At 37.3% G+C, this 15,968-nt stretch overlaps 1 protein-coding gene across 6 annotated transcripts in view; it reads left to right on the forward strand.

Annotated features, from left to right (window-relative positions):
• The window catches only part of CDC14A (cell division cycle 14A), a 175,277-nt gene that overhangs the window by 82,272 nt on the left and 77,037 nt on the right, over positions 1 to 15,968 (forward strand). For all 6 annotated transcript variants that reach the window (NM_001319211.2, NM_001319210.2, NM_003672.4 and 3 more), the window contains exons 6-7: positions 12,660 to 12,726; positions 15,662 to 15,724. In NM_001319211.2, coding sequence (NP_001306140.1) covers positions 12,660 to 12,726; positions 15,662 to 15,724 — 130 coding nt within the window. The remainder of the gene's footprint in view (positions 1 to 12,659; positions 12,727 to 15,661; positions 15,725 to 15,968) is intronic.

The raw sequence follows: 15,968 nt of genomic DNA on the forward strand, positions 1-15,968 counted from the left end.
ATTTAAAATTTTTTAAAAATGAAGATGATTTTGAAGGCTTGTTGAAGGTGTGGTTGGTATGTTCATATACACTTTTCACTGAAATGTCTGTGTTCCCATTTGTGCTATATATTTTAGTTTCTTTCTAATAAAAGAGTTTTATGGCTACTGTGAATTTAAATAATGCTGTTTTTCAAATTTTTTTCACTTTGCAAACATTTATCTGAGCAGTCACTTCTGTAAAGCCTTCCTCATTTTTCTGGAGAGGCTTGGCAGGTCCTTTGCCTGTGATTCCCTATTACATTTTATGTATTACAAGGCTACATACAACGTTAAAGCAAACACCTTGTATTATAATTATTTGTTTGCATGGCTGACTCTTCTCTTGAGGGCTGTGGTTGGTTCTTTTCCTATTGTGTCCTGAGGGAGCAAGTATACTAAAATATATTTATTGCTTTTTCAGTGCCAGTCACTGTGATAGTCCTATGGATCAAAAGATGTTTAGGACAACTTGGTACCTGCTGCAGGAGAGCTCAGTGTATAGTCTGTATACATGTATAGGTGTGTAAAACAGTTACAGTGCTTTGTTAGAATTAGGAGAGAGGTGTTATGGGAATACTGAGGAAGGAGGTTTAACTCTGAAATGGGGGGGTAGGAGAAGATGTTAGGAATAGGCCCCATGGAATGCCTTTCATGTTAGGATGAAAACTGGAGAACAGCAATTCAGGCACTGATTTTAGGTGCTAATTTTATTTATTCGTATGGCATAGGTTGTATAATGGTATGTTAGGTAGTATATATAATACGAAGTTCACAGTATGGGTACATTATTATAACCAAAAGAATGATCTGATTTTATTCCTACTTAGATTCTATTCACCTAGTTAAAATTAACAAAAAACGAGAATTGTGTAGCTTTAACTGCCTATTCTTGATTAAATTAAGTATAGTTGACTTTAGAGATAGTTGAATTTCTGGCTTGTGTGACAGCAGTGAGTGTTGTGATGTCACTTGTGAGTCAGTCTCAGGATGTTCTGTTGAATTGGAGGGTAGGTGTGTCAAAAACTGTATTCACTTTTACTGAGAATAGCCAATGTGTTGATTAAGAGTGACTTTAGGTGAAAATCAGGGGAAAGGGGTGTTTTTCATCTACCTTAATTCTTTGAGTCATCCATTTTCAGTGTTGGCTTGGCAGTTAGCCTTCAAGGGAACAAGAGGCCTTTCAGTTCTGGGGTCAGACTCAGCAGAGTTTGAATTGACAATCTAGGTATGAATCTTTTTAGGTTCTCTTCCTTTCAGTGTACTACTAAATTATAGTGTATACTATTGAGCAAACAAAGTCGTATTAATCTCAGCTTGTCTAAAACCCCAGGAGACCAGTGACCCTTAGTGGAATGTCCAGATTGTTTTCATGGCAGTCAGTGGCAGTGGTTTTCAAATCTACATTGTTGGTGCTCACAAAACAGTATTTGTGAAAATTTAAAGTCCCGCAAAACATTGAAAAGATAACCAATCTAAATTGTACAATTCTTATTTAAGATGTCTCTTGTGCTTTTAAATTCATTTTATACTTATTTCTTTGTTTATTGGTCCATATGTATCAGGTTGGTACGTTTTTTAGTATTGGTGATAATTCCTAAATCTCCTAAAAGCCAGTTTTTAAAATGACATATAGGCCGGGCGCGGTGGCTCACGCCTGTAATCCCAGTACTTTGGGAGGTGGGCGATCACTTGAGGTCAGGAGTTCGAGACCAGCCTGGCCAACAAAGTGAAACCCTGTCTCTACTAAAAATACAAAAAAAAGTAGCCAGCCATGGTGGCATGTGCCTGTAGTCCCAGCTACTCGGGAGGCTGAGGCAGGAGAATTGATTGAACCTGGGAGGCAGAGGTTGTGGTGAGCCAAGATCGCGCCACTGCACTCCAGCCTGGGCAACAGAACAAGACTCCATCTCAAAAAATAAATAAATAAATAAATAAATAAATATAAAATAAAATGACATATACAATTAAACAGGGAATAAAATTATGCTGACAATAAATAACATCCAGGGATCTAGTTCTGAAGACATATCCAGAGAGCATGGCATGAAAAATAATGACTAAGTCTGGAGGTAAGGTTAGGTAGGGTAATGTGCTGACAGTAATGGAATAAAGCTGTGAACATTCGATGTCTTATCCCTTTAGTTTTTTCCTAAAGCTTGGAGAAGAGGCTAGAATTTACAGGTGTTTCTCAAAGTTATGTTGATCCTCAAACTTATCTGCATACGTGGGGAGCTTTAAAAAACTACTGATCCCTAGATTCTGTGCCCAGAAATTTTGCTGTAATTGGTCAAGGGTGAAGTCAGAGTTATTGGGATTTTGAAAAACTGCATATATGATGCCAATATGTGTGGTCAAGGTTGAGAACTCCTGCTCTGTAAGATGTACCATGGCAAAATATATATATATATATCAAGTATATTTATATATATATTATATATATATCAAGTATATTTATATATATATTATATATATATCAAGTGTGTATATATATATATCAAGTAAATTTAAAACTCTCCATCTTGGAGATTTACAAAGCAAATTTCTGTTTTAAAGATTCTGAATGGTTCTGAGTAATGAAGTAACCTGTTTAGCTCTGTATAACCCAGAATTTTCTTTCTTCTTTTTGTTTTTTTGAGATGGAGGTTTCACTTTGTTGCCCAGGGTGGGCTTGAACTCTTGGGCTCAAATCCTGTGTAGTTGGGATCACAGGCATGCACCACTGCATCTGGCCCAGAATTTTACAAAGTACTGATTTTCTTCCTCCTGCCCCATACTTTCCATTAATATCCAGCAGAACTCCTGTTCTGAAACACTCTGAGGCATATTTCCTGATCCACACCTGTGTGGAACAAAAAACATCTCTTGGGATTAAAATAATATGCTAGCATTTTGTGGAACATTTTTTTTATGCTGTTTCCTGAGAGTCTTGGAAATAGATGGCTTATCAAATCATGGTATTTTATTTAATGTGAACAGGAATATCCAAGTTTTCTTGCTGTTGTGAGGCCAGACAATCTTCTCTAACAGAGGATTCACACCCCTCCCACTGGCAATCCTTTTATGACATCTGTCATTAAAATGGATGCATAATGTTTGTGTTGAGGGAGGTGTTTGTTGTGTTTTGGGGGATGACCCTTAGTGATATCCCAGTTGCTGAGCTCTGTGGCTGAGTCTTAATGGGAAATCTCAAAAGTAATTATTTTAGATCTTCTGGGCATGCCAGAACTTGTAGGTCTTTAAACAAAGGCTCAAAAGGGTCAACCACTGTAGGTCTTTAAACAAAGGCTCAAAAAGTTGGTCAACCACTTAGGACTTGGCATCAGGCTGCCTTCTTTTTCATAAAGTAAACATGTGCTGGTAGACGTTAGATGTAATCATAAAATATATTTCCTTACATAAAACATTGAACCAGATTTTTATTAGCTTAAATATGATATTGTGATTTTTGTCGAAGTTTGTTTAGCAATTAACTGTACTTCAAAGGGAAAGTTCTCCTTACCGTGCTTTCCTCTTGAGTATCAAAACTGTGGAAACAATATTTTATCCTCTTTTAAGATGTTCCTTTCATTCTCAACTTTTCCTCGCTGTTTCTCAGTCTTGATCTTTGGGGTCATTTCTGCCCCATGGATCTTTAGTAAACTTTTGCTTTTGGTGCTTGGTATAATGGAAGCTAATTCGCGTTAGTTTTGACTAGTGGGGATGTGCCAATTTCCTGAGTGTTGAAAATAGATGGCTTTTCCAGTCCAAACTGTTGAATCCATTCTTAACAGCTGGGGCATATTTTGAATAAGTGTACCCCCATGAAAAAAGACTCTTTGTCAGAGTTTTCTTGTTAAAGTGCTAAGTAAGCTCCGCTATACAGGACCTGAGAAGAGAAACAAGTGTAAGTGTCTCCATGACCCATTAAGAACTCACATGGAGGTGAGTTATATTATTCTATTTTTTGTCTGCTGGAACAAGAAGGTGCTTTGGTGATTTGTGTTGCGAAAATTCGCTCAGACTACTTTTTTTTTTTTTATTCCTACCTTTAGGGTTCCAGATCAGTTTTACCAAACTTAGTGAAGTAGGGTAGGTGCCAAAGTTTTTGTACTCTTTACGGTATATTTCCAGTAGCCTTAGTTGATAAATATGGTTTTGAATAAGATTGCAGTCATTTACCTTAATGAACATAGTAATAGTTATTATTTTGTTGAATGTTATGAAAAGCTCTTAAATACCTGAGTTAAAACCAATTTGCCATTATTTTTATTTTTAAAGAAAAATTGTTGGCCGTGTGGGTGGCTCATTCCTGTAATCCCAGTGCTTTAGGAGGCCGAGGCAAGAGGATCACTTGAACCCATGAGTTAGAGACCAGTGTGAGTAACATAGTAAGACCTGGTCTCTACAAAAAAAAAATAAAAATAAAAATTAGTCAGGGGTAGTGGCACACATCTGTAGTCCTAGTTGCCTGGGAGGTTTAGGTGGGAGGATTGCTTGAGCCCAGCAGTTTGAGGCTGCAGTGAGTTATGATCGTGCTGCTGTGACAGAATGAGTCCCTGTCTCTGAAATTAAAAAAAAAAAAAGAATAGAAAAATTACTGGTTAAATGGGTGTCAGTCAGATGTTGATGAAATGCCCAGAGTACAGGTCTTGGTCTGTTTTTCTGGTGTTATTGCTAGTTCTAGACAGATTTTATTCTGCTGATTTCAGGTGACCTTTTAAGCCATGACTTTAGAATTGAATTTTCATGTATCTCTGTTTCTTTAGATGAGTAAAATGATTCCTGTATAGCCTTATGTTAAATCTGAAAAGCTGAGATTCTGTTTTTTTGTTGTTGTTGTTGTTAGGTACAGGTCACGTTCAACTTTGGGCCCTGCCTCCTGAGGCATGTGGTTTTGCTCTTTCATGAATGGGAGATGGTTTTGTCCTCCCTACTAATTCTCAATACAGTTTCGTCTTGTAGGTCTCAATGATATAAGCTCTTTCTTTTATTGTAGCTGGTACATATATGTCATAGATTTGTTCAGAGGCTGGAAACTAGGATGTACTTTGGACAACTGTGTAAAGTATTTTGGGCATTGTCTAGCTCTGAAGTATACGGACAATATAGTCTGCAGCTGAACTGTCCAGTATGTTAGCTAGTAGCTACATGTGTTATTGAACACTTGAAATCAGTCTAGTCCAAACTGAGATAGACTGTACATTTAAAATACATATTGGATTTCAAAGATGTAGTATAAAAGGCGGGGTGTGGTGACTCACAGCTGTAATCCCAGGCTGAGGCCAGGAGTTTGAGATCAGCCTGGACAACATAGTGAGACCCTGTCTCTCAAAATAAAAAGATTTAATATAAAAGAAAAATGTAAGATATCTTATTTATAATTATGTTCATTAATGCTGAAATGAGAATATTCTAGATATATTGGATGAGCAAAATACACTACTAAAATTTACTTTTTTCTTGTTAGTTTATTTTAATATGGTTATAAAAAATTAAAATTATACATGAGGCTCTCTTTTGAGGATGGCATTATATTTCCATTGGACAGTGATGATCTAGAGTGTTTTTGCTATTGTACATAGCTCATAATTAAAGATTGTTCTATATACTTTCTCCTTTATTTATTTGTTTTCAGAAATAGAGTCTCACTCTGTTAGCAGGCTGGGGTGCAGTGGCCAAATTGTAGCTCACTGCAGTCTTGAACTCCTGAATTCAAACAATTCTCCTGCCTCAGCCTTCTAGGTAGCTTGCTACCACTCCTGTCTAATTAAATTTTTTTTTTTTTTAAATAGAGAAGGGGTCTCCCTCTATTGTCCAGGCTAGTCTCAAACTACTGGGCTCAAGCAATCCTCCTGCCTTGGCCTCTCAAAGGGATCACAGGTGTGAGCCATCATGCCTGGACACATTTTTGCTTCAAAAGGTCAATAGTTCTTAGCCACCAGAGGTGTTCAGGCATAAGTTGAATGAACTCTTGGTAATGATCATTTATTCATTCCTGTATTAATTCATTTAGCAACATCTATAACATACTAATTTTCCCAACACTGTACTATACTCTGGGCCAATAGACATAAAAGACACGTTTCCCGTCCTTAAGAAGCTCATCTTCTTGTGGAGGTTGTGAAGAGGGGATTCAGTTCAGTGCTTATAAGGGTTCTTAGATGACCTTTATGATCCTTTCCAACCCATTGCTCTGCAATTTTTGCATACCTCCTAACTACTTGTTACCCAGAGAATTTAGAGAATCAAGGACTTAAGATAATTGTAGATCACAGTCATTTCCAAAATTTCTTAGTCTCTTTTCTATCAGCTCTTTTTGTATTTTTTAATGTAGTCTCCACATTGTAGACACTGTGCTTCTGTTCTCCATTCTTTCTTCTTCGAGTAACTTCATTATTCATAATAAGAAATGCTTTCTTATTTTGTGTAAATATGTTCTTTCATCTCTGGTTTCATCTCCCATTATTAATATTTATAAGGTTGCTTCATTCTGAGTGATTTCTTAGATTCTCAGGTTACAAGCAGTGGTATGTTGGTAAACTGGCTCTATAAGTAAAAAGTATTTGCTGATTTCCATGGTACAAATACTTTTACCACTGCTGATTTGGGCTCTCAAAATTTCTGAATATTTAACAGTTCACTCTTGAGAGCCTATATAAGACAGTGCTGGGACACCAGTGAAACAAGCTCTTTAACATTTAATTGTGGATGTTGATTCTAGTTTTCTTAAACTTAATTTTTTTCCTGCTGTTTTTCTGCAAAATAAACACTAAACACAAAATAAACAACAAGTCCCAATTGCTCCTTCTATTTAAATATTATTCATTTAGTTTTTCATTCAAGAACTATTTATTGACTGCAAATTCTTCCTATGGTCATAGTTGTGGATTTTTATAACCACTGTATAATAGCTGTATAGTTCAGTTGACTAGTATGCCAGAAGTCACATTTAGAAAGATAGAATTGTGGCCAGGCGTGGTGGTTTGAAGGTTGAGGAGGGTAAGTGGGAAGATGAGGGTGAGAGGGAAGAACATGTGACTTGCAGATGTGCAGGTTCTGTAGGAAGAGCCCAGTGGCTACTGGGGAGCTCAGGGAAGATGGGGCCAGATACCCCCAGGCCTTGTGGCCACAGTGAAGATTTGAACTTTCCCTTGAGAGCAATGGGAAGTCAGTGAGGGGTTATAGCTGAAGAGTGATCAGATTAGATTTGCCTTTTAAAAATATCACTCTGGCTTCAGTGAAGAAAACCATTAAAAAGTTTTAAGAGTGGGTGTAGGAAGGCAGTGGCAATGGAATTGGCAAGTGATGCATTCAAGAGATATTTAAGAGGTGAAACCAATGGTGCATAGTGAGGGATAGGATAAGGGGAAAGAAAGGTGAGACTTCTGGCCTGTAGCTTGAGTGACTGTGGGAGCTTTTACCCAGACAGGGAGCGCTGCAAGACTGGATTATCGTTGCAGTTGTTTTTTTTTGGAGTGGGAGCAGATTCAAGAGATTCTTCTTACATAGTGAGTTTGAGGCATCTTTAAGACACCCGAACGGAAATGCCATGTAGGTGGTTGGCTGTACTATTTTTGAAGCTTTAAGAAGGAGTTTGTGCTAGAGAGATTTGAGGGTCATTGGCAGATAGATGGTAATTTATGGAGATGTCTAGGGCAGTGATTCTCAAAATACATGCCTTTCTAGCGGCAGCCTCAGCTCCACCTGGAAACTTGTTAGAAATGCAAATTCTCAGGCCCTGCCTTTGGCCTACTGAATTAGAAACTTGAGGTGGGGCCCAGCAGCCTGTGTCTGTGGAACTATCCGGGTGATGCCAATACACACTAAAGTTTTAGAGGCCCTGGTCTAGAGAGAGAGAGTATGGAGTGAGAAGAATTTTGGTCTAGAGTTGAACCTTGAGAAGGTTTGACTTTTAAAGACTGGGAAGTGAAGGATGACTTTGCAAAGGAGGTTGGAAGTAGTGTTTAGAGGGTAGAAGGAAAATCCAGGAACCAAGAGAAGAGAGCAAAGTAGGGAGTTACTTGTTGCTGACATATTAGGCTAAGATGATGCATGCACAATGTTCTCTGGGTTTAAAATAAGTAAATCCAGACAGACAGAAAATAAATTAGTGGATTGCCAGGGGCTGGAGGAAGGAGAATGGGGAGTGACTGCAAATGAGTCCAAAGTTTCTTTTTGGGGTAGTAAAAATATTTTGGAATTACTGGTGATGGTTGTACAACATTATGAATACACCAAACCCCACTGAATTGTACACTTTAAAAAGGAAGATGAGACTGGGCGCGGTGGCTCACGCCTGTAATCCCAGCACTTTGGGAGGCCGAGGTGGGCGGATCGCCTGAGGTCAGGAGTTCGAGACCAGCCTGGCTGACATGGTAAAACCCTGTCTCTACGAAAAATACAAAAATTAGCCAGGCATGGTGGCAGGCGCCTGTAATCCCAGCTACCCGGGAGGGTGAGGCAATCGCTTGAACCCGGGAGGCAGAGGTTGCAGTGAGCCAAGATTGTGCCAGTGCGCTCCAGCCTGGGCTACAAGAGTGAGACTTCGTCTAAAAAAAAAAAAAAAAAAAAAAAAGGAAAAGGAGTAATTCTTTAGAGAAATCTTGTTTTAGAGAGGAGTCCAAACCGGGTGGAAGCTGAAGGAAGATGTGGAGCTTGGAAAATTTTGGTTGGCTTGTTCTTTTTGGAGCTAGTAGGGACCTGAAAATGTTTAAATTCTGTTGGAAAGGATCCAGAAGAGAGATAAAGAGATGACCAATGGTGTTGTATGGTGGTAAAACCTCAGAGTAGGAGGGGACTTTTGGGTTCAGTAGTCTGCTGTTTTCCTAACTCCTGACCTCCATTTCATGTTATAATGCAGGTGAAAAAAATTCCTTAGAAGGGATCTTCCAATTCCAAGTTTGAACATCATGTGGGGCAGGTATCTTTCTGTCTCCCAGGGCCAACCATTAGATGGTCCCGACTATATTGGTGAGTTGAGGAAAATCAACAGGGAAAATTGACTTACAAAATGGGAGGGAATGTTGCCTCTTAAATGGACTTTCAATCTTATTTTAGTCATTTCCTTTATCCTCACTTCCAGGAGAACACAGTGCTGCCAATTCCTAAGCCTTTTGAGACTTACCTGGTATTAATTGTGTTGGTTATCATTTTTTTTTTTGGTTTTTTTGGAGATGGAGTCTCACTCTGTTGCCCAGACTGGAGTGTAGTGGCACAATCTTGGCTCACTGCAACCTCTGCCTCCCGGGTTCAAGCTATTCTCCTGCCTCAGCCTCCCGAGTAGCTGGGATTACAGGTACCTGCCACCATGCCTGGCTAATTTTTATATTTTTAATAGAGATAGGGTTTCACTATGTTGGACCAGGCTGGTCTTGAACTCCTTACCTCAGGTGATCCACCTGCTTCGGCCTCCCAAAGTGCTGGGATTACAGGCATGAGCCACTGTGCCCAACTGGTTCTCAGTTTTTTCATTGTCAGTTTAGTATTCAGTTTTCTTGGTCTTCTAACTTATTTACCACTCATCTAAATGATTTCTAGCTTTCAAAATTTTATTGTTTTGTCTCTTCTCTTATTCTCCTAGTCTTTGTTGGTTTCCATTTAAAAAACAAAAGCCTTTAAAAATTCACCTTTTGGTCAGGTGCAGTGGCTTACACCTGTAATCCTAGCACTTTGGGAGGCAGAGGTGGGTGTATCACTTCAGCTCAGGAGTTCCAGACCAGTCTGGGCAACATGGTGAAACCCTGGCTCTACGAAAAATATAAAAACTAGCTGGGCATGGTGGCTTGTGCCTGTAGTCCCAGCTAATTCAGGGGCTGAGGCTGGAGGATCACTTGAGCCCAGGAGGTGGAGGCTGCAGTGAGCCAAGATCATACCACTGCACTCCAGCCTGGGTGACAGAGTGAGACCCTGTTTCAAAGAAAAAAAAATCTCCTTTTAGTGGGGTTCGGTAGATGCATGGGTTCAATCTTCCATCTTTATCTTCTCTCTTTCTCCCCCAGAGAATACATAACATGTTCTTGTGTCCCTTCACTGTTATAGTATTTTCCTGTGACTACGTATGAGCCACATGCCACGATTAAGCCATTTCTTTCTTGTCCAGTCTTTGGGACAGATTTTGAGAACCTGTTGGCACTATGTGGCTGTCATGAGGATTAAATGCGCTATGCATATAAATTACCTGACACAGTAGGTGCTCAAAAAAGGCATGCCGTTTCCTTCTCTCAATCTGGAGGATATGACTAAATTCTATTGCATTCCTTATTAGATTTCAATTTGTAAACTTCTCTGTGCCTTTTCAGCCTGTGGTGACTGACTTGCCTAGTTCTGTCGGATGGCATGTTAACTTTCCCTCCCAACTTTGGAGGCCTGCAGATTTGACCACCGGGTCACCAGAGCTCTCCTTTTAGTCACTGGTAACAATTGTGGCTGTGATGGGGTAGGAGGTATCATGGAAGCCTCACCATACTTTGCAGACATTCAGAAAGAATAGGCCTGGAACTTTTTCTGGTAGCTTACATTAGTGACATTGTTTAGCTGAGTCTAGGGGTGGGAAGACATACTTGAAAGAATAAGGGATACCTCTACATCTTGTAATTTTTTTTTTTTACTTTTTTTAAATATAAAGAAATTTTTACCCCCTTTTAAAAAACGTAAAGCAGTAGTTTTTAATCTAGGGTCTGTGGAAGAGAATTCAGAGAGTCAGTGAACTTAGATGAGAAAAAAATTATATCTTTATTTTTACTGACCTTACCTTATCAATTATAAAGTTACATCCAATTATAAATGTTGTAAATAAACTGTAGTAGCATTAGCAATATAAGTGACAATTTAATATCACTTACAGTTATTATTTCTTAAAATATTTATGCTCATTCCTTCCTCAAAATTGTAGTGGCAGTTATCAGACTTGCCACTAGATCTTGTTATATAATATATTAATTTGAAAAGTGCATTTTGGGGTATTGCAAATTTGTATTTTAGTATATTTAAAATACATATTTAAACTTTATTTAAATGTAATTGAAATAGTTTTCTGTTAATCCTAGTTTATGCATTAAAAACATTATTCTGAGGAAATGGGTTCGCAGGCTTCCTCAGGTCACTGAGAGTCCATGGCACAGAGACTCTGAACCCCAAAGACAAGTGTCTGCAAAGGAATTTATGGTTGTTTATATAAACTAATATTTTTCTTAGATCCCTAGTCACTCTTTTCTCTGGCATAGCCCATTAAAATTTGCTTTCTAACATATAGTTTACATTTTTACAAGATATTTGAAAAGGGGGCTATTTTATTTTTTGCTGACATGTGAGTTCAGATGATATTTAAAAACACAAAAACAAAGATCCCTCCTTTTGAAATGAGACATAAATATTTGGAATAATTGAAGTTTCAGGACTTAAGCATTCTGTTAAGTTGCTTTGCTAACTTCCTAGTTTTATGTTAGGCTTTCGGGATGCTGAAACTCAGGGATGATGAAGTTACATTTCACTTCATGGCTTAGCAGCCATAGGTTCAAGTGACCTTGAATGGTTGTAAAAGTTGGTTTTATGTTAATTATACCTTAAAGCCCTTAAAGGTCTATTCTCCCCTTGGAACGTCTTCTGGCCCCTTCCTGATGGCTGCCATATGTGCCTTTCACTTTGTCTAGATAGGTGTCTGCCTGCTCTGTTTCTTGGGTCAGCAGTGGAGGCTGGGCAGAGAGCCTGGAGCCTTGAGGTCAAGTTTCCTACCTCGGACACCTTGGAACACTGTAGTGTTAAAGCTCTGGTGCCAGTTCTTGCTTAACTGACCTGAACTTGATACTTTAGTTTTATGTTGCCTAAAGCAGGTCTGCTAAATTGCTCTAAAAACTTAAATAAAGTATGAAGCACTCAATTTTCACCACGGTAGGTTCCCACTCCTTTTGAAGGAGTACTTCATGGTGCATTAGAAGCTCTCGTGGCTCCCAGTGGCTCAGAGGAGATTGTTTGGAAGCCTGACTACATTTTCCTGTTTTCTTTCTTTTCTTTTCTTTTTTGTAGGGGAAGGATGGCATTTAATCCATGAAAACACCTGCTAGGTTCTGTTGGCCTACATACATTGTCTCTCCTATCTTTTAAGCTTGTTTTTATCATATTCCTGACAGGAGGTTATTCCTCTGCCAGAATACCTCTTGCAATGATGAATGTTTTACTTAATCAAACAGTTCAATTCACTGTTAATAATAAGAATAGTCATAATATTTATGAAGTGCTTCCTATGTACCAGCCACTATATGAAGGACTTTACATATTTTAAAAAACATAATCTGACAACAGTCCTATGAGTGATAGCTGCTATCATTAACTTCATTTCACAGATGAGGAGACCAAGATTCAGCATAGAGGTAAAATAACTTGCTTAAGTTCCTGTGCAGTACCTGGTTGAATTGGAAGTGGAACTAAGGCAGTCGGACTCAGGAACGCAGGCTCTTAAATCAGCCTCTTGGATTAAAGCAATTTCAGAAGTGCTTCAGTTAAGTGTGGTAGTTAATTAGTAGGATCTAATGTATTATATAAGTTTACCATGTTGATAGCTGTGAAGCCAAACAAGCACATCTCCAGCTGACTTTGGTGTTATATTTTATTATTTGAATGTTCTAAATGCAAGTTTTTAATGTTGAGTTTATTTATGTTTATAGGGATGCTTCCTTTGGAAATTGCACTTACAATCTCACCATTCTCGACTGTTTGCAGGGAATCAGAAAGGTAATAACAATTCTCCTTGCTGTAGTTGACACAGTAGTTTAAAAAAATATGAGAAAGGAATAATCTCAACATCCTTATTTGTTATTGGAGGGAAGAAAGGGGAGCCAGTAAGTAGAAGGCTTTTCACTTCTTGAAGGATGATTGATTTGTAAAATACAAACACCAGGAAAAACTGGGAGGAGGGAGTGGCAGGGGCCTTTCTTTGTCGTTTAAACTATTTGTGTTCCAGGGCAGATTTATCACCACTATCAGCTGCAGTGCCTGTGACATTGCTTTGTCACATGCTTAGCTTCATTATCAGGCTTGATCTTGGTGTGGGAGAGTCAGGAAGTTATCTAAGCCACTGTGCTCCTCTGCTGCTTGGTCCCACCCCAGACCCACTAAAACAAAAACTCTGGGGGTGGAGCCCTGCGGTCTGTATTTGAACAACCTCTCCAGGTGATTTGATGCACTCCAAAGTTTGAGAACCAAGTCATAGTTATTTAATTATTTCTGTATATAATGGAGAAGTTAAACTAGAAGATTTCTGAGAGCTCTCGGAACATGTTTTAGAAACATAAATTCACAATCTGAGAAGTTATATAAGCTATACTGTAAATTCTAATGAGGGCTCAAAGTACATAATCTCGAACATATAACTATGGTTTATTATCAGTCAGGAATGTACATATTACATAACCTATTGATCATAGGACATATATAATAATGTCACATGGACTATAAATATATTATCAGTAGCAATTCTAGTTCATTTCTTGGATGTAATATAAAACTGATTTTTGCTGTGTTTTGAGTTGAGAAAATTGGTGTGATAAATGTGCTACCTGTTTTATACATGGTTGTTTCTATTTAATTTAAAATGAATTTAAACCCTATCAAACTTTAAAATGGTTTTCAAATCTTTTTCTTTCTACTTAAACAACTACAGAGATACTCTAGCCCACTCTTGCAACAATATTACCAAGGTGCATTTCCAGTAATGCCAGTTAAGAGCTTCTATGGAGACGTTACCCAACATATAACAGTTGATTATAGCATTTGGAAAATATGCCTGAGGGAAAAAATAATTTATTTATCGTCACTATTATTATTTTGCCTTTTCTACCATCTGCTACAGGCCATTTGTTTTATAACACTTAAAAAATTTAGAAAGTTCACACTGGAATATCGCTGCCTGTAATTATGGTAATTAGTAACTCAGTATAGAAAGTTGTGGCATCCTTCCTGTTGTAGAGGAAAGGTATGTAAACTTGTTTCATCAAATGTTGGGGTTAACTCAAAGACAAATGAGATTTTGGAGGATCTGATAGATTGTGCAGCATGTCTTTAAGCACCTGAGACATTTCCTGTAAGTTCATTCTCTTACATAAGGCACCATATTCTGGGCTATTTTTGTGTGGCAACGAGTAGTACCATTCCAAGAACCTATACAGAGTATGGCCACATTTTTGCCTTTTTAGGGAGCACATTTCTCTGATTTTAATGTATTGGCATTGTCATAAGTATAGTTTATATTCCATGTTATGTGAACTACTATACATGGATATAAGCAAACCCTTTGAAAATACAGAGGAAAAAAAAGTGAATCCTTCAGAGAGTTTGTATATTTTTCTCACTTTTTTGTCTGGAAAGGTGCATATGGATGAACTCAGTTTTTTTTTTTTTTTTAGAATGGACTAATTTAAATAATTTGTTCTGCTTATTCTGTAGGGGTTGTTTAAACCAGTGTTATCAGAATTTTGCATTTCTAAGAATCACCTGGGAAGCTATGCTGAAAATGGTGATCCTGGGCCCCAACCACAGCAAATATGATTTGATAGTTCTGGGGTGGGGCCCAGGAGTCTGCTTCTTTCATATGAATTACCCTAAGTGTTTCTGATGCTGATGGCGCATGTTCTGTGTTTTGAAAAAACACTGATAGATGTACTGGAGCTTGGCTTGCTAGTTTCTTTTTCTATTTTTAATGACTTGATCATGTAACTTTTAAATGTACCTGTGGTTTTGTATTCTGTTGTAATCTGTATAGCTTCATGATTTATAAAATAAAAGATTCTGTTCTCTTTAAAATATTAGATCTGAGCTAGCTGGATAGTTTTTAAAAGTTCTAAGTCATTGTTTACAAAACTGAGTATGACTTTTACTTTGTGATAAAAATATGTTTTTTTTTTTAAATTGTAAGAGCAGTCAAGTATAATTCTACTTTGTCAGAAACTATCTCATGAAACAGATTCTCCCAAGGTAGAGTTTTAGGAACAAATAAGGGCCTATTAAGTAGAAATATTAAGAAATATTACATATATATTATGTATTGTATATATAAATATACTATATTATGTATTATATATAAATATACTATATTATATATAGTATATATAAATATATACTATATATTATATATAAATATATATATTCTCTCATCAAATATTATTAAGGACCTATTAAGTAGAAATATTAAGGAAGAAAAAACAGTAAAAGATGCAGGGTTTTTTTGGGGGGCTAAATATCTCCCTATGATAAAAGGAAGACAAAAACTCATAAGAATAATTGATTTTTCTTCTCCTAACAAAGAAGTTAATCACTATGATCTATTCTGTCATAGTTAGGTCTAGTTCCCAACAGGTTCTAACTATAAATTTGTTTTATTTCATTTTGTATACATATAATTTTACATACAAAACTGATGTAAATTAGAAATCAAGGCATCTTTTGTGGGGCTTTTTCATGTTATTCTAAGTGTTTTTTTAGTTCCAGTAAGACAGTCTTAATGCAATATAACCAGTTTTATAAAAAGATTTCTAGATATGCATTAAACATCAAAGGTTTCAAGCTGTCTCTTCAGATTAGTGAGGATCATTTCTGTAAGTAGGAGTTCCAGAAATGATGAGTAGAGTTTATCAATTTAGCATGGAAAAACTAATTCAAATTCTGCTTTTAGGGATTACAACATGGATTTTTTGACTTTGAGACATTTGATGTGGATGAATATGAACATTATGAGGTTTGTACATTTAATTTTTTTTACAAAACATAATTTCATGTTGATTAATTTTTTCCCCCTGTCACACTCATGTATTGCAAATCGAGTGGGTGCTAAATAAAAGCATTCTGGAGTTTTCCATAGTGGTCAGTTTTGTCCTTTCAGCCTTGGTTATTTCCTTTGAATCAGGAGTCACCAAAATTTTATTTTGGAAAAACAACATATCTATATATATTCTCTCATTTATATACAATCACTTTGCACC

The sequence above is a fragment of the Homo sapiens genome, chromosome 1 (genome assembly GCF_000001405.40).
Source record: "Homo sapiens chromosome 1, GRCh38.p14 Primary Assembly".
Classification (NCBI taxonomy): domain Eukaryota; kingdom Metazoa; phylum Chordata; class Mammalia; order Primates; family Hominidae; genus Homo; species Homo sapiens.